Source organism: Homo sapiens, chromosome 7 (assembly GCF_000001405.40).
Source record: "Homo sapiens chromosome 7, GRCh38.p14 Primary Assembly".
Lineage (NCBI taxonomy): Eukaryota > Metazoa > Chordata > Mammalia > Primates > Hominidae > Homo > Homo sapiens.
Window position 1 is genome coordinate 85,468,096 of NC_000007.14, and position 27,857 is coordinate 85,495,952.

Below are 27,857 nucleotides of genomic sequence, written 5' to 3' on the forward strand. Positions count from 1 at the left end.
TAGGTATCTGCCAGTATAAAGAAGTTTCCCATGTGACAGATACCCCAACTCCACCCCAACATCACGAGTTAGACAACCAGACATTAAGCCATCCTCCGAGTAAAAGAAATAAATATCCTGTGAAAGGCATACTGTAAACACCCATATCCAGCCCCAGTCCTTTTCCTTTAGGGCAGGGTTACTAGGTGCTCTGGTACTGGAACCCCAGTTTAGCTGGGGACTCTCAAAACACATATGCAAATGGTATTTTTTATGATGCTATTTCGTAATAGCAAAATTTTAAAACAAATTCTCATCTATAAAAAACTGCTTTAATAAAGCATCATAAAAAAACAAAAAGAAATACGAAGTAGCCATTAGAAAGAATGAGAAAAATCTCTATAAATTGATAGAGGAGTAATTTCTAGAATATAATTTTATGGAAAAAAGGAAGGTCAAAGATTGCATTCAATACTTTAATAGGTTATTATTTGTGCAAAAAGAAGACAGATTTTCCCCCAAAAAGAACTAGGGGAAAGATAAACCAAAAGGCAATAAAAATGATTATATATAATGGATAGGAGGGAAAGGGTGGAGCTGGATATAGTGAAAGGAAGATTTCCTTGAGTAAAATTTTTAATATAGTTAAAAGTCTAAATAAGATAAAAAATCTGAAGTTATCTAATAACTGAGTCTATAATTATTACTATTAGTGGCAGTATCCCTATTTATGATGTTATTTTATGGGCACTGTAGAATAAAGCCAATAAATTAATACATTAATTTTATGAAAAGAAAACATGCCAGTAATCCCAGTGCTTTGGCAGGCAAAGGAAGGAGGATTGCTTGAGGTCAGCCTGAGTAACATAGCGAGACACCATCCCTACAAAAAATGTTTAAAAATTAGCTGGGCATGGTGGCACAAGCTTGTAGTCCTGGTTACTCAGGAGTCTAAGGCAGGAGGATTGCTTGAGCCTACTAATTTGAGGCTGCAGTGAGCTATGATCATGCCATTGCACACCAGCCTGGGTGGCGGAGCGAGACCTTGTCTAAATCATACATACGTGCATATTTTTACTGAGAGAAAAACAGGTACCAATATAAAATACAAGGTAAAAAAATCCTGTTAATGTTAAAATTTTATTAGAAATATTAGTTTGAATTCTTGATTAAAAACACCAAAAGACATTTCCTGTGTCTGTCCACTATAAAGGTCTAGAAATAACAATAACCTAGTAGCAATGAGACACCAAATGACCAGATATTGGTTTCTAAGTACAATTGCTGATTACAAGTAATTAATACCTATTATGCCTGAAGGAAAAAAAAAATACTAAAAGGCTCATGAAGTAAAAGGGAGGGGGCAACACTGACCTAAAGGGGCCCCTTCAATTCTGGTTAAGTTGAGAATCTCCTAGAATAATGAAAAAATTTGATTATAATCTCCTAAAACTGTGAGTCCAAAACCACAAAATGTAAAAAATAAAAAGCAAAAGTCTCCTTTTACAGAAGACTACCAATAGAGCATAGAATAAATGATGAAATCAGATGAAATGTGAGAACTAATGAGTTTGTAGCTCCCAATGTAAAAACTCCTTTAGGCACTTACTATAAATAGATGTTTAAACCATTGGGTTAAAGATCATTGGGGAAGAGAATTTTTTTGCATCAGTTGTAAATGATTACCCACAGATTACCAGCTAATTACAGAGGAAAAAGTTACAAGGAAGAGATATGATAATCACTGCTCATATCCAAGTGATCCAGCAGTTACACACACAGTTGGGCAGCCTGATATTATGTACCTCCTACATGTGATGCTGTAGAGTACACAGCGTTATCTATGTGGTGTCATTGCTAAATGACAGATTTTCCCTTAAGGTAATTATGATGAAATAAAATAAAGCAAATTCAGAAAGTGGAATGTTCTCAAAGAAAAATGGCCTGACTCTTCAAAACAAAATGTAAAAATATAAATAAAAAACAGTAAAGTCTTTAAAAGTAAGACACAAAAGGAGTGTGTTGGGGGGAACTCTTGTAGATTAAAATAGACTAAATAATCATAACAAATGCCATGATGAAACCTCACTGGATCCTATATCAGGGAACAAACCTAAAAGTTACTTCTAGGAAAACTGGGAACATATGATTGTGGACTGTATACTCAATAATCTTATAAAATTATTGTTAACATATATTTTATGTCGGATAATGATATCGTGGTTATGCTGGATAATGTCTTTCTTTTAGAGGTGTATGCAGCGTATTTATGAGAAATTATTGTATCTGCAACCTACTTTTCAAATGGTTAAAAATTGTATGCAGAGAGAAAGAGAGAGAGAGCAATGATGGAGGATAGAAACACTGATGAAGCTAGGTGAAGGGTTTAGAGTTAGTCATTGCATCTTTAAAAAGTTCTCTATAGAGTGGGATTTTTTAATAATACGAAGTTGGGGAAGGGGAAGGTGTTTGTCTCATATTTACTTTCTGCAGCTCATATTCTGCAAGTAATATTCTTGCTCCTTTCAAACTGTACCAAAACACCCTCATTAAGCAGTCAAGCTATAACCACAACAGCATCACCACACCCTCAAGAACAGTTGAGTTTTATACATTGTTCTCTCATTTTAAACAGCAAATGGCTGTTTCTTGCCCTCCGTGTCCATCCCCACACTGCCTCTAAAGGGCAAAAGCCCAGATAAGCAATTTAACAATTTACATTAACACATAATACTTAGTATCTGATTTCAGGTTAAGGTGATTTCATAATTGCTATTGCTGTTGTTTTTGCCCATTTATATAATTTTTCCCAGAACAAAGAATTCTATGACACAACTGGGGATTATACATTACAGCTTTAGGAAAAACCTAATTACCTAAAAATTTTAAATGACTCCCATATATGCACATGCTACATTACATGGATTTGTAGGGTATCCTCACAAAATTTTCCATTAGGTAAAAATGCATTTCCTGAAATATTTATCATACCTGTATTTATGCAATGTTAGTTTTCTCATTTATATTAGGTCTGTATAGTGCTAAAACCTAGTAATTGCTTAACAAATACTTGCTGAGTAAATCACGGAATGTATGGTACTGGAGACTTGAGGTTCAATAGAAATAATCAATAAATAAATCTTTGAATATAAAGGAGATGTCTGAGGGAGATGTGTAGAGTTTAAGGGAAATAAGTCAAAGAAGAAAAATAAACTGAAAAGGGAAGAGGAAGAGTAAAAGAATGGCAATAGCTGCAAACATCAAGAGGGATGTTTCATTCATATTGTTTAATTTTTCTCTTAGTCACATTTTAAATGAGTACTCATTACCTCATAGCTAGAGAGGCTACCATATTGGAGAGTGAAGCTTATAAAAATTTTCCATCTATTGCATAAAGTTCTATGAGGCAGCACTGCTGGAGAAAGTATTAGAGTAAAAAAAGAGGTAAGAAGTAAAAACTTGAAGAAAAGAGGCAATAAATAAAACTGCAACATCTGTAACAGTGACATCTGTTGGTTAAAAATGAATCAGGAGACTTTCAAAAATATTTATACTTTTGATTTTATATTCTATTAACATAGTTGGTTTGATTTCTCATGGACCCTTACATTAGTATTTCCAATTAAAACCACACTCTTTAAAATTGTGTTTGCTGCATATAAAATAATCATTGTTGTAGCAAATTTTTCAAAAACTAAAGCCAAGGCAGTTTAAAGATGTGTGATGGAAAAGAGAGGGGGAGTTAAGTCAAGAAGCAACAATTAAGGAAGTGTCTTAAACACCAACTCTATTTTGGTTTTCTTGAGCATTTCCACTCTTTCCACTTGTGTTAGTCACCATCCCGCAGTTTCCTTTCATGTCACTGAAAGTGAGTTAACTCAGAAAATAAAGAGGCATCTGTCTCCATGCTTTCACTATTCTATAAACAACTTACATTGCTCGCTACTGCGGCATAGAAGTTTAGTCAGACTCATTTGTTTTTCAAGTACCTTCCACTGTCTTCTCAGAATAAACACTATTGGAAAAAATTTACTATAGTAATCTTATGTGAGTTGTTTCCCTCTCTCTGAACTCAAAACATTCTTTCAGTATGTGAGAATGGCAAACTCAATTATTTTATGCTCAACAGAATTTTATTGAATCCCCTGACAGTTCAGATAAACTACTAAATGAATGTTTATTATAAGCATGCAGACAAATGATACATTATAGGGAGGAAACTACTCGAAGCAGTTATTCTACCTGTAAACAAAGTTTGCCTCGGAAGATTTTATTTTATTCCTAGAAAAATGCCATGGATTAGATTGAAAACTGGAGGATATGTCATTGTAATTTTGTTTGTCTGACTCTGCATCTTGTGTAACCAGGAATGTCTATTCTCATAGATTTTGAATTTAGACCAAGTGAAAACTTGACAACAGACTGTGTCTGCTTTTCCCAAACATCATTAACTTTTGAAAAACCCAAACCATCAGATGTGGTGAAGACAGGAGATGAGGGAGACTGATAGATAGATAGATAGATGATAGATGATAGATAGATAGATAGATAGTTAGAGAGCAGACATAGATGATAGATGATAGATAGATAGATAGATAGATAGATAGCAGATATAGATAAGTAATTTTAGTGTCAATTCTAAAGTCTCCTATGAATATTTGCACCACTCTTTAACAGATTTTAAGGTTTATTTTGTCATCATTGTGAAACCAAAGAATAGGTAGAACTTGCTTATGTTTTCAACAATGCTTTTAACACAAAGTATAAAAGCAACATATATTGTATATATGTTCTATCAACATATATGTTCTATCAACATATATTGTATATAATACCCTTAACTACTTTGCCATTAGTTATCTTTTCATTATTAGGATTCTAATCAATAGAATAATTGAAGCATATATGTTAAAAATCTGTTAAGTTAAAAATCTTAGTTTATAATATTTTAAGGAATAGTATATCTGAGTAGAAATCCATAGTCATAGAATCACAAGGAATGAGAATAACAATGGAACTTATGTTAGATTAGTCTTGGGACATCATCAGATGATTCCAGGCATGACCTCAATTGCTCTCCATAATATTATATGTATCATGCATATATGAGATAGTAAATATGGAAGTGTGCTTCTAAACAATTTCCTGATAGTGAATGCTTCAAAACTTATCTGTGACTCTATTTAATAAGTCTGATAAAATTGTAACTAAAAGAAGGACAAATAAGATGCAAAAAAGAGGAAGAAGAAGGAAAATAAGAGAGAGAAGGACAAAGATACAGAGAGAGGGAGGGCGCAAACCACCACCACCATTATCACCACCACTATCACAACAACAACTGGGATAGCAATGTTTTAATAGGGTAGTATTATTATCATTATTATTGCTTAATCTTTATTTCCATTAGCACTCTAAGTGCGGCGTATGTAAAAAATAAAATGTGCAGCTTCCTAAGGAAATAGATTTGAGAAAGCCAACTCGCAAATCTAGTGCTTCATTATATCAGCTGCATAAATTGTTTCCTAATTGGACACTTACTCATCTTTTAAACATACTAGCAGGTATAAAATGTTCAGGTGGAAAACCAGTTTAGGTTAATATATCATGTTATCTATTAGCACTGTAGCTGATTACTAAGTAATGCAAATGTTTAAATTACCAAAAAAACTATATCCTAATAAAATTGGAAATTTTTAATAATGACATTTTGTTTAACATTAATTCTCTAGAAAATGCACAAAACAATGTATATTTTCTGGCATCATGGAGCATTTAGACTAACATTTTCCTTCATATTGATGTCAAAGAGAAAGAATCAAAGTGACTTATGTCACCAAAAGAAACAGGAAAGAAATATTCTTTTAAACACCTACTCACAGCTGTTACCAAAAATCGTAGTAGATTTACTATCACATCAAATAAAAAAAATCAAAATGCTGTTTGTCTTTATTATTTCCTCTCCTCTGGGAAAGTAAGTGACCCATGCTAGTTGGTGAATGTTTTTCCTTTCTAGTGCAGGTGACAAGAGTAGGTTTTGGCATTTGTTTTGCATTACTGTCATTCTAAAAAGAAACTAGAAAATATATAACATTTGTATATATTAATTTCAGAAGCCAAATTACATAATATTTGTAATGAAAATTAAATGCAACAAATTCAAAGTCATAAAGAATTAGATATACTTTTATGTTAAGATGGCTTTTCTGTTAGGCTCATCTTTCAAAATTACAGCATTGAAAAATACATTTATCTGGTTTCGATCTGAATACCTACATTCTCACATGTGCATCTTCATACGAGTCAGACAGTGCCCACAAATATGCTCCTTTAGTAGTCTGAGCAGTTTTGCTGGCCTGTACCAAAATAGAAAGAAAATTATTAAGTAGAAATCCCCCAAGGGGAATCAAGTTGAGGTAATTTAAATGACAATCTTGTTTAACTTTGCATTTTTCTATAGGAAGTCATCTCCTGATCTTGTCAGAAAGAATTTTTTTCCTTTGCAACTCAATAACCCCCACATATGCCATTGTTATAGTAGTCATTTCATTTTCAGTTTATTTTCCTTATTTCTCTCTATTACACCTAGAACATAGAATTTTTATTAGTACTCAATCACACATTACACGTAGAACATTGTTTAGTACTCAATAACAGATAAATTAATGAACAAAAATTATTATTTAAATTCTATTAGGTTTCACATATAGCAATTCTACAAAAGAGTGCAAGGGAATAATTAAGACACAGAGCCAATAGTTTATCAGCACAGAATTTCGTTCCTTTAAATTAGGTGCTTAATATTAATTTGTCAAGTGGATTTATATCTAAAATATGCAAAAATTAAATGATAATATTATAGATTATGGTCTGTAAAATAGTAAGAAAGCATCTTGCACATGTTACAAAAACAGTAAATATCCACTGTTTTGAGTTGACTTACTTAGAAAAAGCCTCAGTTAATTCCAGTTAAGTTAAAAGTTCTGTTTAGGAAAGATTTCCCCCCAACCCCGGCTAATAAGCATTAATGACAGCTTAATCCTATCACATCTTTTCATGAGAATACCATGTTTTGGCAATGACCTCAATTATAATGCTAGTTTATTCTTTTCTGAAAGATATACCATGAAACTTCTAACTACTCCACTCCCACAACAGGATGTTCTGCTCTGATTGGCAGGGAGAGTTTGAAGGTGGGTTGGCAGAGACTGTGACCGCAACTGACTGCGTTCTGCAGAATTATGGTAATGAAATTGGAAGCCAACTTTCGTGAAGCAGAAAGCCTCAAGGTAATTGCCATGTACTATAACTTTTCCTTCCATTCGGAAAACAGAAATAAACAGCACATTTTCCCCATGAATCTACTGTATTTACCAGTATTGTTTGTGGGGTATACTTTGCCAGTTGACATTACTTTAGTAAACTTATTATTATACGGTGAACACCTGCCCCATAAATATAGAATAGAAAAGCTATATTATATTTGTGTTTGGTGAAATGAAGTGTTACCCAAACTCAGATGTGGTGAAGACCTTTTGTGTTCTCTATATTTATGGAAGCTACATGCCACTTAACATATACCAAATTTGGTAAGCAAACAACCTTGACTCAAAGTTCAACTTTACATGATCTTTGTGACCGGAGATTGGGTCATTCAGTTTCTAATGTATAGTTTCAACTAAGTTAGAATTCTAAGTATGTTTTAAATTTTAAAAATAAAATGTTAAGTTTCTTATTGAATAGCTAAATATTGAATTGAAAGACTACTTCCACACTTGATTGATGGAGTTTTCTCTTATTAGTATAGAAACCCATCAGAAGTTTATTTAGATTAGGTATTACTTAGGAAGATAGCATTAGAAAGTACAACCTTATCTTTTCCTATAGCAACAGGATGTAATGGTAAGAAAGAACAGAAGCCAGAGAGATCTGGACTTGTATTTCTGCTACTTTCTGTGTTCTTAGATAACTCACTTCAACTCTCTGAATCCTAATTCCTTGTTTAAACATGCAACTCTATTCTGTAAGTCTGTTTTTTAAGTACTTAGAAATAACATATATAAAGACCAAAAACAATCTCTGGTATAGAAAATTTTAAAAAAAAATGTTGTACTGAATGCTGTTAATACTACTACTCTTGTACTTTTAGTAAAATATCTTATAACTTAATTATTCTAATATTATACTTTCCATTTGTCTTATTGTGAAGACAGAAATAAAGTTATAATTGCACCCCTCAACAACAAAGACATTGTTGAATGTCTACTATGTCCAATTGTAGTTGGATAACAGGACTGTAGGAAATGTAAAACCAACACAACGCCCCAACCACTTTCCTCAAGTCAGTTGGTATTGCCACTGAAAAGGAATTTGCTGTGAAACCCCTGGAAGAAGGTATAGCACTAGAACTGAGGGTCAAATACTTTGAATTAATTATCAAGAATTTCTTGATTTTTCAAATAAAAACTGTGACCTATGAAAGTAAAGTGAACTGAGAAACAGTTATTGATTTATATATAATATATAATATATTATATATATATATATATATATATATTCCAGATAAATGTAATCTTGGTATTGCTAGTTTCACCTTTACTGCCAAGTTACAAAACAAAACAAACCAATCTAGTACGCCCATAAATAGAGTCTGGCCATAATTCTCTGCTCTCCTCAGACTGGAGAAAATAATGTTACCAGATAAAAATATAGTGAATGACTATCTTAACAAGGAAACTGAGGAACTTGTTTCTCCAGTTAAATTCAGTGTGAATTTCCTTACTATTTATTTCATTTAGAAGCAGAACTCATGAAGAATGAAGTAGGGAGAATGTCTTTATATTATACTCACATTATTAGTCATACTCATGTGCAATGGAATATTCTACAATTTTTTTTTAATCTGAGGTAACTTTACATGAACTAATATGAGCAAATCTCAAGACATGTTAGGGGAATAAAATAAGATTTTATAACAATGAGTATATAATTCTATTATTTTTTTCTTGTTCTGAAACTTAGCATGTTTAATTTAATTTTACTTTTTATTATTGTGAAAACCACATAACGTAAAGTTTACCATTTTAACCATTTCTAAGTTTGTGGTTCTGTAGTGTGGAGTATATTCACATTGTTGTGAACTAGATCTCCATAACTCATTCATATTGCAAATCTGAAACTCTATACCCATTAAACAATAATTCCCCTTTTCTCCCAAGCCCTGATAACCACCATTCTACTTTTTGTTTCTATGAATTTGACTACTTTAGATATCTCATGTAAGTGGAATCATACAGTATTTGTCTTTTAGTGACTGATTTATTAAACTTAGCATAATGTCCTCAAAGTTCATCCATACTGCAATGTGTGACAGGATTTCCTTCCTTTTTAAGACTGAATAAAATTCAATTTTATGTATATGCCATGCTTTGTTTATTCATTCATCCATTGATGGACATTTGGGCTGCTTCCATCTCTTGGCTAGTTTCATTTTTTAATTGAAAACATATGAGATATGTAATGTCTACATCCATGTATAGTTGGATATTTACGATATAACATATATATATGTATATATATATATATGTATATATATAAACATTTTACCAAAAAATAAGCTTTGAGAGTAGAGGAAGATATCATCTTAATTTATTACCAATATTATTTCTCTAGAGGTATAACCACTTTTATCAGTTCATTGTATATCAGAAAAATATTTTAAATAAATGTATGCATATATATACATTTAAAATTGAATTATGTATGCTATGCTATTGTATTTATTATTCTATTTTTTAAAGCTAGCACTCCTTTAGAGTTATATTTGCATCAGTAAATAGAACTTTACCTCATTTATTTTAACTGTTTATTAAATATATGATTATTCATGATTATGTGGACTGCTTTCACTATTGTGATATCATTTAGCTATTTGTGAAGTATAATACATATACAGAAAAGTATACACACCAGTTAATATGCTTTCACAAAATAAATTCACCTAGATTCGCAAATAGATGATTACCAGCCCCAGAAACTTCCCAGTCACTGTTAACTCTGAGTGGCAACCACTCTCCTGAGTTATAACAACATAAATTAGTGTTGTCTCTTTTTGTACTTCATGTAAATTGAACCATATCCATAACATTCTTTTTTGTGTTTTATTCCTTTCATTCAACATTATGTTTGTGATCCTTATTCCTACTGCTGCAAATACTGGCAGTTAATTTTTTTCGTTCTTATTTCTATACATGCCATTGTATGAATATAAAACAATTTGTTTATTCATTCTGCTTTTGATAATCATTCAGAAAATTTTGACGTGGGCTACTACAAATAGTGCTGTTGTGAGCAATATCATTCATGTATTCTGGTCTACCCATTGCTGTTAGTTCTATAACACGCAGTGAAATTGTTGAGACAACAGAGAATTTATAGATTTAGCTTTAGCAGATCCTGACAAATAATTTTCCAAAGAATATGTACTAATTTGAATTCCAATCACAGGGTGTAAATAAATAGTTTTATCAGAGGTGTGTGAACCAGAGCAACTCCATCTTAAACAGGAGCTAAGTAAAATGAGGCTAAAACCTACTGGGCTGCATTCCCAGACCGTTAAGGCATTCTAAGTCACAGGATGAGATAGGATGTCAGCATAAAATACAGGTCTTAAAGACCTTGCTGATAAAACAGGTTGCAATGAAGGAGCCGGCCAAAACCCACCAAATCCAAAGTGGCAACAAGAGTGACCTGTGGTCGTCCCTCACTGCTACACTCCCACCAGCGCTACGGCATGAATAATCCACCCTTTGTTTAGTGTATAATCAAGAACTAACCATAAAAATGGGCAACCAGCAGCCCTTAGGGCTGCTTTGTCTATGGAGTAGCCATCATTTATTCCTTTACTTTCTTAATAAACTTGCTTTCACTTTGCACTGCGGACTGGCCCTGAATCTTTCCTTGCCCAAGAACCCCTCTTGGGGTCTGGATAGGGACCCCTGTCCTGTAACAGTTTCTTCATTTTATTGTCACATTTAGTATTTTCTACCTTTTTTATTATAGTCATTGGTGGATCTACAGTGGTATCACATTGTGACAGATATACGTGTGCTATAATATGCATGGACCATTTCTAGGAATGCATGCAGTGCTTCAATGATTGCCTATGGTCAGGGAACTAGAATTTGGGTGTCAAGTATATAGAAAAAGTCACTTCTCACTTTACAGTTTTTGATGCTATTTGAAATATTTTAACATGTGCTGTATTACCTTTTTGTGTTCCTTTCTTTCATTTCCTTTTTAATTTCTAAGAGAAAAGTAATATAAGCCTTTAGTATTAGTCTAAAAACCAATTCACTTTTGATCCCAAGGCCACTGGGAGTTGGACAATCACATGGGAAGTGTAAAGCTCAAATTCTCTTGCCAGCCCTTAAGTTTTTGTGGACAGAGCAAGGAGATGGGAAACAGAAAAGGAAATGAGACTGAAACTCCAGAGAAATGTGAAGATCCAGATATTCATGGCCCTCCCAAATATCACTTACTGTTCTCTTTACTATCTGATTATTACAGATGTTGAAAGTTTCTTTTTTTAAATACACACACACGCACACATATATACACACATACATGTATGTATATATACATACACATATATGTATATGTATTTATATACATATATGTATTTATACATATATGTATAAGCATATATGTGTACACACACACACACAAACACACACACATATATATATAAATATTTATTCCACAGGGGTCCAGCCTACAGGTGTGGAAGCAGCTGTCTCTGCCTCCCTGATACTGGCCTATGTTTTCATACTGGCCTGACCTGAACTGGAAATCAACAGAAAAGTCATCAAGCTGACATATAGGTACATGACCAAAATTTCTTGTGCTATTAAAAGAGAAAAAAAAATAAAGCAAAGAGAAAGTATAGAATTAAGAAGTATGATGTCAAGATTTATTCTTTGATTGAATAAAGGTACCCTCAAATGACTCAACTAACAGATGACTAAGGTTTTATGAGTTGTATTGTTAGGGAACTCATACTTGGAAATCAGGTACCTGTGATTCCCTCAAGAACCTACTGGGCCAAAGCTCATATGATTCTTAAGTACTGTTCAGGTTGCAGAGTCTTGTGCGGTGTGATAGTGTGTTCCCTTGTGAGTGTGACAATAAAGATCAATGGACACAGGAGAATAGGTCAAAGCAATGAATTTATGCCAACAGTAGAGAAGAGCTCACCATTAATTCTTTTTGCTTTATTGGACTGTTTCTGTTTTCCCTAACATTGTTTGTTGTGTAAGATCGAATGGTTACGTTTATAATTAGAATTTGGCAGTGGTGCTGTGAGGACTCACATCTGAATTTGATTAAGGGAAATGCATTTTACCCAGAGATGCTGGCCGTAGAACAGGGCGACTTAACAGCATGTCTTTGGATTGTTCCTGTTGGAGAGAGGATGAGTGTATGTTTATTAAGTAAAATAATTATATTAGGTGGAGCTATTCATGGAATTATACACAAATGTGTTAACTAGACAGCTAAAAAATAAAATGAGGAAGATGTAATTTAAGCCCTTTGTTTCCTCACATTTTGTTTATTAACAGCAAGTGTCATTATTTCTGGGGATCCAAGCCTCTCTCTTACTCCATGAGATTCTGGGTGGGACCAGTGTAATAAGTGCCATCCTGTTTTCCTTTTCTAACCTGTATCCAAAAAAATATATCTCCTAGGTCTGACTTATTATATTAGCCATTAGTTTGATCACAGTCATCGGCTTATTTAGGTGATGTCAGCATAAATTATTCTCTGGGATTTAACATGTGGGTGCCAAAGGGGAGAATAGCACATGTGGGTGCTAAAGGGGAGAAAAATATGTATTTATAATTAGCAAAGCATACTAAGCTCAGAGGTAACCTGGCCTTTGAACAGGATTGTTACATCTCAGGTTACCTCTGAGCTTAGTATGCTTTGCTAATTATATGTGTGTGTGTGTGTGTGTGTGTGTGTGTGTGTGTGTGTATACCTTACTTTCCTCTGACCTTAGTAAGCTTTGCTAAGAACAGTCTAGAGTCTTGTGTGGACATATTATTACTACTTTTTCCAACATGGAGGAATCTTACCTGCAATAAGCCAAATGACCAACAACAACAAAAAAGGAAAGCTGATGAAGACAAGAGACAGAGTGACTGACTAGTATGTGTCCCTAAGTTACTAAAGCTTATGTAGCCTCTAAGTAACCTCTGAGGTGGACTTTTCTACAGTCCTATAACTAAGGAAGAACTAATCAAATATAGAAACCATGGCTGAGAGACAAGGTAAAAGTGATGGAAACCTAAGTCTCTGAATCAGTTGGAGGCACATGGATTTTGAGTTTGTCATGGGTATTTGGAAAGTCATAGTCACAATGTAATTGTACATTTTTATGTAAAGAAAAATGTTTCAGCTTGTCACACTCTAAAATTTGTGTCACTATTATATAAAGATGGACTTTTATATAGGTAGATATATAACTTTATGTATAGATTGATACATGGTTTTCTACAGTTTGTCTTTGACTTAAGAACCAACCATAATTTAAGAGGATAATGGATTGTTCAATGGTTAGCAAACATTAAATAGTAGTAAGATATAATATGTTAAACATACTATTGCTTTTATAATCAAAATATGTGCTTACATTAAGTGAATGGAATATCAATATTATGCACAATATGTGGTTATGATTGTCACAGGCAGAACAGAAGCTTTCTCTCTTGACAGGCAATTAACACAGCCTAATAACATGGATAGAGAGATAAACACTCAAGAGGAATAATAAATTTATGTTCTGTTGCTATAAGAGGATAATTTTATGTTTTATTTAAGATTGAAGCTTACATTGATATTAAAAACTGTGCTTAATGGTAGGAGTTTGAATTAAATTCTTACTGTTAAGCCTGTTTAGCAAGTAAAAATAATTCAGTATATTCAACACATAATGTTTTATAAATGCTGTATTGAGGAGATGGATACTTTGCCACCTTAATAGTGGTGTGTAATATGAAGCACACCAAAGGCCTAATACCTTCATTTTATAGCTTTTTACCATTTTCTCAGCTGAAATGACAAAATAAATCTTCCTGGCCCATGTTTTGAGTGAGTTACAGTCAGTAGCATCCTGTGCTCAAAAAAAACAGACTTCACTCAAGGCAAACAGGCGTGTGAGGAAGAACATGTGACTCAGAATTAATCTGAACTTAAAAGACTGTCTTTTCCCTCATGCAGCATCAAAATTGGATGTGTTATATCATAAAGCTTTACCTTCTTACTAAAACTGTGTTTTAAACTGCTTAATTTTGTTGACCAGAGGTAGAGTGGCAGAAAGGAAAGCATATGCATTGATTATTTTTTAGTACACTGAAAGACTGCATGTTTAAGCAATATAAGTTGTAGGTTTTAGGATTATTTGATAAAAGATAAATGCTCATGGGCTTCAAAAACAGTAAACCTATTAAGAGATCTAAGATGACTTGAAATCATTTTAAATACAGTATGCACATTTCCAATGCTTGACTAATAAACTGCTTGAAGTTACTTACCTATTAGCTCATCAAATTGTCTATAATAAGGAGCCTTTATATATAACTTAATACATGTTTTTAAATGGATTATTTAAGGAATTTGATTTTAATATTCTTTCATTCTTTTCTTTTTAACAATAAATGGTTAAATAATTGATTCTTAATTATCAATTTCTCATAATAAAAATGTATATTAACCAAATATGGGTTTTATAATTTTTTTGAGTGCCACTTTAAACTTTTTTCAAGAATTTAAGTCTCTCATAGTTTGCAGCCATGAAGAATACATAGTTTATGCTGTTTGTGTATTGGATATAATGTAGAATGGAATATTATTCAATGACACAGTTCACGCTAGTGCTGATCTCTTTCACTGTAGTGAGGCCACAAATGAATTTGCTAAAATGCATTAAGGTGATTTTAGCAGAATAAAATAATAAAGAGTTTTAAATTGTTTTTCTACTCACTGAAAAATTATACTTTTTAATGATACAAAAAGTATTTGGAATATTCTTGCATATGACTTTGTAAAGAAATATTAGTTTCTCTGCAAAATATTTTAAGTAAAACTCTGCTTGGAAAGAGGTTAGATAAACTTTGGAGGACCCTTCAGGTTCTTGAGTCAGTGATTCTGTGATGTAAGCAAATAAGACAGTATGGATTTGAAGTGGACATGTTTCAGCCAAGTCCTTCTACGAGCCAAGCCAGTCATCTGGTTTTAATGAACCTCCTTTGGAATGCAAAAATTTTAATGTTTTGCTTGGGCCCACTATAGTTTTAATTACTTGTATTTGACATGTGTTGAGCAATAGCTAAGCAGTAGTGATTACCCAACACAACATTTTATGCAGTGCTTGCTTACTTTAGGCTGAAGTGTAAAATATAAGCATTTTTCAGATAGGGTAAAGGGAAATAATTATAAAGATAGGCCATTTGTATTTCTGATTGACGCTTAAGAACATTCAGAATAGTTTAAGGTTAATATGACCTATTGCCCATATTTTTGTACATATTCAGTTATCTCCAAAATATATATTAAAAAATTGTGAATCATGTAACTTTAAATTAGGAGATTATGAATACTTGATCATAACCAGATGTTTTGAATCTCTACTAACTAAAGACAAAAAGGGAAGTAGATTAAATTGCATTAGTTAAGAACAGTTACTGCATTGAAATGGAGTGAATTAGTACCTAAATTTTTAAGTCCAAGGACCTGGTTTTTAATGTCAAAATGTTTTGCAGATATCCACATGGTAGTTATGATAATTTTTGTAAGCTCTGATTAGGAAATTATGTAACAACTAAAAGTATCATGAGGTCAGTGACATTTTAAAATAAATTTATATGTTTTAACTTAGAAAATATTTAGTCATTTAAAAAATATGTGGATATGAGAAATACTATTTACTAAATCTACAAAAATGTACATAATGAATTTTAGGATACCTTACTGTAACTAAGAACCCCCTGAAGCGTCTTTCATCTTGAGTACCAACCTTGTTATTAGAAATTAATCAAACATATTTAATATCAAATTATTATTTAAATAAAGAAGTTCTCAACATCTAACCTATTTTAAAAACATGTATAAAACCATATAAATATAAATAAGCAAATAAATTGATAACTACAAAACAACGCATATACTTTGAAATATATTGAATGCAGATCATTAAAATATTTTTTCTTTATCTGTTGTGAAAAGCCAGCATATGCATTGCTAACCTACATTAGAAGAAAATGTAGACTCTGTTAAATCTCATGGACAGATAGTTTTAAAAATTTGTATTTTAGACATGAAAATATCCTTCATCATTTTTATTAGGTATAATATAAGGTATTCTTTTATTTAAATTTTTATCATTTTATGGTGCTAATCAGAAATACTTTAACGCTTTTAAGCATGCTTATAAGAGTTTGGGTTTGAGCCTACTTCCTTTTGCATAAATTTATTTTGTAGTGAAAAACATGTTTTAAATATATAGACTGTACTTCTCACTGGTTTTACCAACATTATAAATTATATGCAAAAGTGAATGGAATTAACAAGTGTAAATCTGTCATTACTATTATAAAAATCACTTGCTTCTTAACACAGGGGTAATACTCTAATATTAGCATCTAGAAAAAAGATGAATATAGTACCATGAAGTATAGTGCTCATCCTAAAACCCAAAAGGCACAGTGTTCCAATTTTTTGTATTCTATAAACTCAAGTCAATCGGTATTCATAGCATTCTGCTTCGTTACCAGCAGTATTCTAAGTTCTGATATGGTGGCTACAAAAGAGGAAATGTAAATGGTTGCTGAATTCACATAAGTTAAAGTATATGTACTGAGACTGCACTCATTTACTGTAGTTTCATCTACAGTAGTCTCCCCTTATACACAGTGGATACTTCAAAAATCCCCAGTGGATGCCTACACCATGGATAGTGTCAAGCTCTATATAGTATATACTATGTTTTTCCTGTTCATACGCACCCATAATAAAGTTTAATTCAAACATTAAGCACAATTAGAGATCAATAATAACTAACAATTGAATAGAATACTGTAATAATAGTTATGTAAATGTAGTTTTTCTCACTATCCCTCTCTCTCTTAAAATTTCTTATTATACTATACAACTGGTAGCTGAAACCTTGGAGAGTGAAACAACTGATAAGGGAAGACTACTGTAGAAAAGGAGTAATTTTTCTATGCCAGTTGGCCAGTGATAAGAACTTTACAAGTCTGACTGTATTATCATCACAAACAAGATTGTAATTCGATACATCTTTATATTAACAGGGGCTGGTGGGATTTCCACTGACCTTTTTTTTTTTTCTTTTTTAGTCCAACCAAATCAATTTCTTTGGCTTGTTTATGAAAATCATATTAGACTTCTTGTTCACAAGTGTCAATTGCACTAACCAAATAGAGTTGGCTGATTTTTCTTTGCTCATAAAGGTGAGAGTTAACATGATTAATACCAGACTGTTCAATGTTGATAGAAGAATCTGAATAATTATGATGATAGGCTTTAGTATATTCATGAGGGTTTCTTGGGATTACAGAGGGTGAATAACAAGAACAAATTTCTGTTCACAATACATTCATAGATTTTTATCAACAAAATTAAATAATTATTTTCTAATCATCCCTAGCTTAGTAAGTTACAACTTCATTCTCCCAATTTTGAAAGCCAAAACTTTGAAGTCATTTTTGATGGCAATTTTTCTCTTATAGCACACATCAATTAATTAGCAAATTCTGCCATCTCTGTAGTCAAAGTTTGTGCAAAATCCATGTACTCTCACAGTCTTGACAATTACCACCTAGTCGATGCACTCAAAGTATAAAAATAAACTCCTAATACATGAATAAAGCATTGAATAAAGTACATTCCCAGCATGTAAGAAAATTAGTGGGTGACTGAGACAAAGAAAAAAATGATTAAGGTAGTGTAAAACTATATACGTTTTTTAATATGTTAATAAACATGCATGCTTATTGTGTATGTTTATACACATTAAATGTAGCCTTACAAAATCTAGAATAAAATGAAATATTCTAATATAATGCAATCAATTCATAGAATTAAAGTGTTTTTTAATATGATATCCATTAGTGATCTTCAGTAATGCTATATTTCCCAGGATCTGCAGTGATTCAGCATATTTCTCCAAGTTTGCAACATTTCATGACCAGAGCTTCTTAAATTTAAATGCTAGGATGCTTTAGGTATAACTCTCTAAAACTGACTATGATAGATCATAAATGCTGCTTCTTATTTTTTGGAACAAATTATATTATTTAATATAATTAAATATAAGTTAAAATGACTATTATTAGAAAAATATATCCATCAAACAATTTTAGGCTTTTATTTTATAATTTACCATTAAAAACAAAGAAAATCATCTTATAGGACTAATAATGTTGGCCAAATAAGAAATCCACTAGAATTGTTACACATTTAAATCTGGTAGATGAAATTTTTCTTTTTTTGTCTCCATCTTTTTTCTTTTTCTTTTTCTTTTTTTTAAACGAAGTTTCGCTCACATTGCCCAGGCTGCAGCGCAATGGATTGATCTCAGCCTGCTGCAACCTCAGTCTCCCAGACTCAAGCAATTTTCTTGACTCAGCCACCTGAGTAGCTGGGATTACAGGCGCCTGCCACCATGCCCAGCTAATTTTTGTATTTTTAGTAGAGACGGGGTTTCACCACGTTGGCTGGTCTCGAACTCCTGACCTCAGGTGATCCTCCCACCCTGGCCTCCCAAAGTGCTGGGATTACAGGCATGAGCCACCACGCCTGGCTGTCTCCATCGTTTTTTATACTTTATTAAGGTATAATTGACAAATAAAAGTTATATATATTTATGGTGTAAAAAGTGACATTTTGATACATGTATGCATTATAAATTGATTAAATCAAGCTACTTAACATATTCATCACCTCACATACTTTTTTTTGTAGTGATAACATTTAAGATCTGGTCTCTTAGCAATTTTATGTATTAAAAACTTTATTATTAACTATAGTCAGCAAGTTATATATTAGATATTCATAATTTATTCATGTAATTGTAACTTTATATGCTTTGACCAACATTTTTCCATCCCCCACACGCAGCCGCTGTCAACCATCGTTCTACTCTCTGCTTCTATAAATTCAGGTTTTTAGCTTCTACATGCAAGTGTGATCATGCAGTACACATCTTTCTGTTCCTGGCTTATTTTACTTAACAATGTTCTCCATGTTCATCCATGATGTGTAAATGAGAACATTTTATTACTTTTATGGCTAAATAGTATTTCATTTTGTATATAACCACATTTATGGATCCATTCATCTGATGATGGACACAGGTTAATTTCATATCTTGTTTATTGTGAATAATGCTGCCATGCACATGAGAGTGCAGCTATCTCTTTGATATACTGATTTCATTTTTGGGGGATATATACCTACAAGTGGGATTGCTGGACAATAGAGTAATTCTATTTTTAATTTTTTGAGGAACCCCCATTCTGTATTACATAATGGCTGTACTAATTTGCATTCTCACCCAAACGGTACAAAAGTTTTCTTTTCTCCACATCTTCCTCAATACATGTTATGTTTGGTATAATAGCTAATCTAACAGATATCTCACTGTGGTTTTAATTCTCATTTCTCTGATAACTAGTGATGTTGAACATTTTTTTCATATATCTGTTGGCCATTTTTATGTCTTTTAGTTATTAAGTCTTTATAAGATGTATAGTTTGCAGGTATTTTCTCCGATTTTTAGTTTTTTTCTTCACTCTATTGATTGTTTTCTTTGCTATGCATTAAACATTCAGTTCGATGCAGTCTCTTTTGTCTATAATTGCTTTTGTTGCCTGTGTTTTTGGGTTCATGTACAACAAAATATTGTCCAGACCAATGTCAAGAAAATTTTCTCATAGTAGTTTGGCAATTTCGGGTCTTATGTTTAAGTCATGAATTCTTTTTTTTTAACTTTTGCATATGGAGTGAAATGAGGTTCTAATTTCATTCTTCTGCAAGTGGATATCTTGTTTTCCAACACCATTTATTGAAGAGACTATTTTTTTTCCTGTTTGTGTTCTTGGCAAATTTGTTGAAGATTAATTAACTGTAAATGTGAAGATTTACTCTTAGGCTTTCTGTTTTGTTTCATTTGTCTCTATTTCTGTTATTAGTGTTAGTACCATCTGTTTTGATTACCATGGTTTTGCAGTAAATTTTGAGATAAGGAAGTGTGATGCCAGTACTTTTGCTCTGTTTTGCTCAAGGTTGCTTTGTCTCTTTGGCATCTTTTTTGGATTTTACAAATTTTAGATTTTTTTTTCTATTTCTGTAAAAATTGTTACTGTAATTTTGATAAGGATCGCATTGATCTGCATATTTCTTTGGGCAGTATCAGCATTTTAATAATATTAATTATTTCAATCCATGAACATGGGATATCTTTCCATTTATATGTGTTGTCTTCAATTTCTTTCATACATGCTTTATAGTTTTCAGTGTATAGATCTTTCACCTTCTTGGTTATATTTATTCCTAAGTGTCTTTTTAAAATGTCATTATAAATGAGACTCTTTTCTTTATTTTTTTAATTGAATAATGTATAGAAACACTAATGATTTTTGTATGTTGATTATGTATCCTGCTACTTTATTTAATTTGTTTATTAGTTCTAACAGTTTTTCATTTAAATGGTATTTATTATCTTTCAGTTTCCAGGTGCTGTGCTCAGTCCAGGAATACAATGATGAATACGATCAAGGCCCTTTCAGAGCTGACACACACTATACATAATGCATCAAAAATTGCGTTCTCGCTATATTTCTGTTTATTTGGTTTTATCTGCAAGAATATAGATAGCATCTGCTTTGATATAAAACTTTTATGTGTCTTATGTAGTTGATTTGTAAATGTCCTATCTATAAATATAAAACAATAAATTACTAGTTACAGTTAACTTAGGAAAACTTTTAATCATGTCCTACATTTTACACCTTGTAATTTCTACCAAATGTTTGTATTTTTATGTCTTATTAAATATAATAAATATTTGTCTTAACATATTTTAATAGAATTCCTCATATGTTTTGCAGAAAGCTAATTATGGTTTTCCATGTGATTTTTCTTTCATATATACAGTATTATTTAAAATAAATTTGTATAAAATAAGCCAAGTGTTTTTTATTGTAATGTGTATATTACATTAAGAAATACTATACATTCTCTAATGCCATTTTATATGCAATCTTCTAAGCACTAAGTTTATATTTACCAGGAAAAGGTTCAATTTGGTGACTTAGGTCATGGCTTTTTTATTCTTTATTTAGAGTTGACAGTAGTGTAGGCGTATGTCTGGGCCATTCGCCCAACTATACCAATGGTTCCCTTTCATTTTCTTTCCCTGATTCAGCATCAAGCATGAGTTACATATGGTCACCAATCTTCCAGACAAAAAATAGCTAAAGAATAGTAAATTTTTCCACTACATTAGTCATCTGGGACTCCTCTCTGTGGTCAGTACCTGCATGGAAAAAGGATTAAAAAAGCATTTTCACTGATAACAGTCCTTCAAATATATTATTTTTTCAAAGATCATCAAACCACAAAGATAGTTCCAGTCAGACATCCAGATGTTTACTCTGAGTCACAGAGTAGCTATCAAACACTGTGGTAAGGGATTCCCTAAGTAGGTAACCGAGTTTTCTGTAGACAGCAAAGGCTCTTAGACATGGATTTGAGTAATCAAGTTTTATTTAGTTTGCTGACTTTCAAGTTTCATTCCATGGCTTTTTTGACTACTCTGTATAAAATTTGGAGCTATGTTTTATAATAAATACAATGCAGAATAGAGCAGAGTTCCCACAATGAGGTAGTTCATAGATGCATCAGATGTGCTTAAGAAACTATAAAAATAGCTAAACACCTAGACACATTATAATTAGCACTGTCAAATATCATTGGAACAATTTAGAGGATAAGGGTATCACATCTGTTTGGAAATATCAAGAAGTCTTCACAAAATTGATTCTACACTTTATGAGACTGAAGGATTTCAACACACAGAAAGAGGGTGACATTTTAGGGAGAAGCAAAGTTATGAGCTTGTATTAGACTTTTGTGACCATAGGAAATTATTGGGATTAAATCGTGAAAACTATGCAGAGCTTTAATTTTGGATGCTGACTTGGGCAATTTTTATTAAATTTGGTAGCTTTTTTTTTAGTATAATTACATTTTCTAAGTGTGATCTAGAAAATTTAATCTGAAGTCTTGAGTAGAATGAAATAACATAGGGCAAGAATAAAGAAATGAAACCAATGAGGAGATAACGACACCAATGAAGAGATAAGAGAACAATGAGGATGCCATACAAAGTACAAAAAAAAAAAAAAAGAGAGAGACAGAAAAGAAAGGAAAGGAGAAATGTATTGACAAAGTAGAAATTATACTGCCTAACTAGCTAAGAAATACATTTGACAAACTATGCTAAACATTTCTGTTATTTTGAATTGGGACTTGTATATTGCAGACATTTTTATTAGATTGAGAGGTAGGTTAGTAGACTTGGCTTTCACCCTATTAAATTTGTAGTTCCATGAATTCTTCTGGGCAGTTTATCTAGTAGACAATTAAAATTAGAGAACTGAAAGTCCAGAGAAATCTAGACATAATTCAACTGGTGGTAATTGTGAAATTTGTTAATTATTGAAATCAAAGTCTTATATTTTATTGACAATGTTATAGGGTATTCCATGTGTAGTATGATTAGCTTTATGCTACAATCGTTTTCAGCAAATTTATCTCAATTTTGCTTTATGCGTTGGCTGTAATTGACAAGCTTGGGTGTGCAATGACTGGGACAGATGGTCTCATTATCCATACCCATTTATCTTTTCTTTCTTAATTTCATTCATTACTCAAATAACAGTAAATGATTACTATGTGCTCAACAGTATGTAAATTACAGTGCTGTATAAAATTGAGAGATACACAGGTTTTTTTTTCCCTCAAGATACTAAGGTTGGTTGAGGAGTAGGATATCATTGCTAATTGAAGTATGGTTTTAGAATCATGAATTCAAAAATTCCATTACATTAACTGATTTGTCATACAAGGCTCAATTAGAAATCAGGAATAATTAAATATGTTTACCTAAAAATATCTGAGTGTCATTTGACAAATACATAAAGAAAGAGTGATTCAGCAATCTGTATTCATGACAAGTAAGAATCAGATTTTGGCAATACTTGCCCTTCTTTGAAAAGTTGTCTTTTGCAGTTTGCCTTAGAAAACAATTTGGAGAATATTGCTTGTTGTTCATAATATGATTGAAGTTTCATACTATTACAGCTAATATTTTTGATTCATGAACTTCACTTACTCCTCTCCAAATTTGTTTTAATAAGCCACATCTAGATTTTTAAAATTTGGAATGTGAAGGCAGACTTCTATGCCACCAATTATTTTCCTAACCATTTTCCCTTTTCCTTTCCTTTCTTTTTTCTTTTCTCTTTTAAAAATTTTTCTTCTCCTTTTTCCTTTTCTGAATAAATCAGAGACCAAGATTCTGTGTTTGCATATATCAGCACGTATGGCCCTAAAATACATGTAATGTTTCATTTAATTCAAAACAGTCTTGGTGGATAACAATAATTGGGTGAACTATACAGATAGGCTCCTCCTTGGTTCTTCACCAAATAAGCCTAGTTCTCACAAGCTTTGCTCTCTATAATCCTGGCACCTGAACAACATTAGAAACATTGCAATCCATCTAAAATAAGGAAGGTTTTCTAATAGTTTTAGAACTACAAAACTATAGCTACTTTCAAATTACCTTTTAAGTTTTGAAAACTTTAATTTCAGAATTTTATCTTGACTTATACCATGTATACTTGAATATATTACCCGTTATTGTTAACATTTAATTTCCTTTTTGTTATAGTTAAGGAAAAAATACATATTAATAAGAATAGCAATATCTATACAATAGTTTTTTGGGTGTGCCATCTATGCCTGGAAAAATATTAGATTAGACATAAAACACAGGTAGTTTTATGAAAAATTTAGTTTTCATTTTCTATTTGGTCACCTTTACTTTTCTGAATTACCTATAAAAATGGGCACATGAGCAAAACATTGATGTCTTATAGAGGACAGTACTAACAACATTAAAAAAGAAAAAAATTACCCCCAGCGATTTATGCTACTTTTAAGATAGGTTTATTCAGGAGGTTAGGGCTTACCAGTACCTCTCTACCTCCACTATGAACTTCACTAAGAAGATTGTGTGGGAATTATCACTAAATTGGTGGTGTTTTCATTAGTTATGGCATCTAACCAAAGACATCTGAGGGGCCATATCACAAATTTGAAACAGCAGAGAAAACTTGCCTTTTGTTTTCCTTGTGGAGTAATTAACTGAAGGTGCAGAGTATCATTTCTCTGTAAATTACTTGGGATATATTTTTAAATTAACCATCTCCAAACATTTTATGTATAAATAGCATTTTATAATTCCATGCTGTAATTACTTCCTCATGCTAAAATCAAAGTTGGTAAAAATATATCAGCCTCTTTTATTGGACTTATTTTTTATACTCTTCCCAGTTTACCCATTGGGGATACACTCTCCAAAGTTTTTTTTTCCATAAAACAAAACAAACAAACAAACAAACAAAACCTTTAGATGTTTGGGTTTCCATATTTAGCCAAAGAAAACATTGGATGTAGACATCCAATGTTTCTTTATTAAATTTTTAATTCTTTATTAAACTCCTGTCTTTTATTTGAATTTTCTTTTTACCATTTCTTGTTTAAATCTATACAAGACCATGGTCCTCTAAAAGCCATCAATTTTACTTTAAACCAAAATTTTAATTTACATATTTTTTCAGAATTCTAAATTGAGCCCCAATGATTACTCTTACAGTACAATAGCGGTGTTAATATAAGAGTCTCAAAACTTATACAGGAAAATAGTAACAGGTTTTGATAGAAATTTCAAATGTTTACCTACAAAACCATATATAATGAGATTAACATATGGCTGAAACACAACACTCATATCTTATTAAAATGATAACTCCATGGAAGTGGAATATTTTATATCCTTATTTTAAAAGCTAGCTGTGTTAGTTTGGCTGGGCTGCCATAACAAAGTACCACAGACTGGATGACATAAACAACAGGAATTTATTTCATACAATTCTGAAAGGCAAAATGTCCGAGATCAAGGTGTCAGCCAGGTTAATTTCTTCCGAGGCCTGTCTTGTTGGTTTGCAGATGGTCATCTTCTCTGCGTATGTTCATATGGGCTTTCTTCTGTGTGTGTCTGTATCCAAATTTCCTCCTCATGTAAGGACACAACATATACTAGATTATGGCCCATTTTAATGATTCCATTTAAACTTAATTACCTCTTTAATTACCCTATCTCCAAGTACAGTCACATTCTGAGGCACTCTGGGTTAAGGCTTCAACATGTAAATTTTGGGAAGAAATAATTCACCATAATATAAGCTGTTAAATTTAAAATGCTGTATTTAAAACACTATCTACATGCTCTATTTTAGAAGTAAGCACAGGTTAAGAGTTGAAAAATTGTTAATTATATATAAAGCCAGAATTAGTAATTCTTCCAGAAGCAAAACTTATTTTCTTCTTTGAATAATATCCTTAGTATTTTGACTGGAAAATGTTCATTAACTAGAATTTTAAGCACCTAATATCTAAATTCATTGGTAGATTTTACTGCCAATTCATTTGTGGTAACTTTGTTACTTTGTCTTGGAGAAGACAAAGATCAATAAGATACTGGTTCTGTCCTTAAAATATCCACTCAAGATTCAAGGGGGAAGGCATATTATTCCAAGAAAGAAATGGCTATTTTTCCTGAACAAATTATCATGGACATAATATAAACAATTTTCTACTGTTCTTTATTTTTTTCATTATAATTTCGCTAGCACTGTCAAATTTAGGTAATGCCTTCATTATATAGAAATTAAATACTTATTACTTTTAAATGTTAATACATTTTGTTGCAATTCAGTTCTGGAACAATGAAATGCTTAACAGGAAGAGGAAAAAGATTCAATTCTATGGGTCTGCATAGCAACCAAATTAAAAATAGTCTAAAAATACCTAGAATAAGGCAAGGGAAAAACTGCATGATTCATTTTTCATTTTGATACTTCAATGTTTTTGACACTCTTTACACTGATGTAGGATTTTTCTTCTTGGTCATTTTGTAAGCCAGGACCCACAGCTGGCAATGCTCTGCCTGGGCCTCACTTGGCCATGCTGGTGTGCCCCAGGTTGCCTGTGTTGTAGCTTGCACTCACATTTGGTGGTTCCTGAGCTCTTGCACCATGTCCAAGAAGAATGAAGATACACAGGACATTGAAGGAAGGGGAAGATGGAGAAGAATTTTATTGAGTGAAGGAAATGGCTTTCAGAGAAGAGGGGATCTAGGATTGGTCCCCCTACTTGAAGGCAGGAAAGGTCCCCCACCTCATGTGGCTGGGTCTGGGGCCTTTTGTTGATACAGAATGGGGAGTGCGTGCTGATTGGTTTGTGAGTATGAAAAAAAAGATTAAAGCAAAGACACCACTCAAAGGTGGGCACCACAGTGTAGAAAATCAATTAGGAGAGGGTAGACATATGTAAAATAGGTGAAGAGTGGGGAACTATCAGAGGAAAGCATGCCAAATGGGAAGACAAGTTCTCAATCCAGTGCAAGGATATAAGTTGTAGCTTGGCTTTCAGGCTTTAAACTGTCTTTGGCTTGAGGTGGGGTTTCACCAGCAATTCCCCATCCGCCTAGGCATTTAGCTGCCTCCTGCCACTCTCAGTACTACTAATAAATAAGCACTGAGTTAATTTAGCTTATTTTCTGTTAAAACGTTTTATATTGTAAAGTATGGAATACTGATCTTTAGTAAAGATAGCCATACAATTGGAAAAAAATCAATGTAAAGATAATGAGTACGTATTTAGTTTTGTCCAATATCAATCATTGCTTCTAGTATACATATGTAACTAACCTGCACAATGTGCACATGTACCCTAAAACTTAAAGTATAATAAAAAAATAAAAAAAAAGAAAAAAGAAAATAATCTCTCACTATCTCTTAATTTTATAGTTCATTTGAATATTTTCTAACACAGGATTTTGCTAATTCACATTTTAAACTGTTTTTGGGAAACTAATTTATGTTAACACAACTTCGTAAACATTCATGCCCATGTTCCCTCTTCTCTGCAGATTAAAATTTTTCATCATAGCCATTATATCTCGTTCTGATACTGCTAAGGCAAAGTAAAGGTAAAAAGAGGTAAGTGCTCAGAAGAGCTAGAAATGTAGCTTTTTTTTAATGATAGCATGTACTGGTAACCTTATATCAAATTCCATCACCGTATAACTGAATATTAAACTAAAAAGTATATAATAATATGTGTCCTGTATGTATCCCTAAAGTGCATTTTATTATGGCCAATGTATCAGAATACGTTAAGCTGGATATACTCACCTGAAAGAGGAAATAAATATTTTTTTTAAAAAATCAGTCTGAAGGAGGATTGTCCATCTTTTTATATATTAAAAAAACTGAGCCAGGGGCAGTGGCTCATGCCTGTAATCCCAGCGCTTTGGGAGGCCAAGGCAGGCAGATCAAGAGGTCAGGAGATCAAGACCATCCTGGCCAGCATGGTGAAACCCAGTCTCTACTAAAACTATAAAAATTAGCTGAGTGTGGTGGCGCATGCCTGTAGTCCCAGCTACT

The 27,857-nt window shown here is 32.3% G+C and overlaps 1 long non-coding RNA gene across 1 annotated transcript in view; it reads left to right on the forward strand.

Moving 5' to 3' along the window:
* Positions 1–21,243, forward strand: part of LINC00972 (long intergenic non-protein coding RNA 972) — a 68,217-nt gene extending 46,974 nt beyond the window's left edge. The window contains exons 3-4 of the long non-coding RNA NR_134240.1: positions 7,157–7,265; positions 20,787–21,243. This is a non-coding gene — a long non-coding RNA (long intergenic non-protein coding RNA 972). The remainder of the gene's footprint in view (positions 1–7,156; positions 7,266–20,786) is intronic.
* Positions 21,244–27,857: the final 6,614 nt, after the last annotated feature.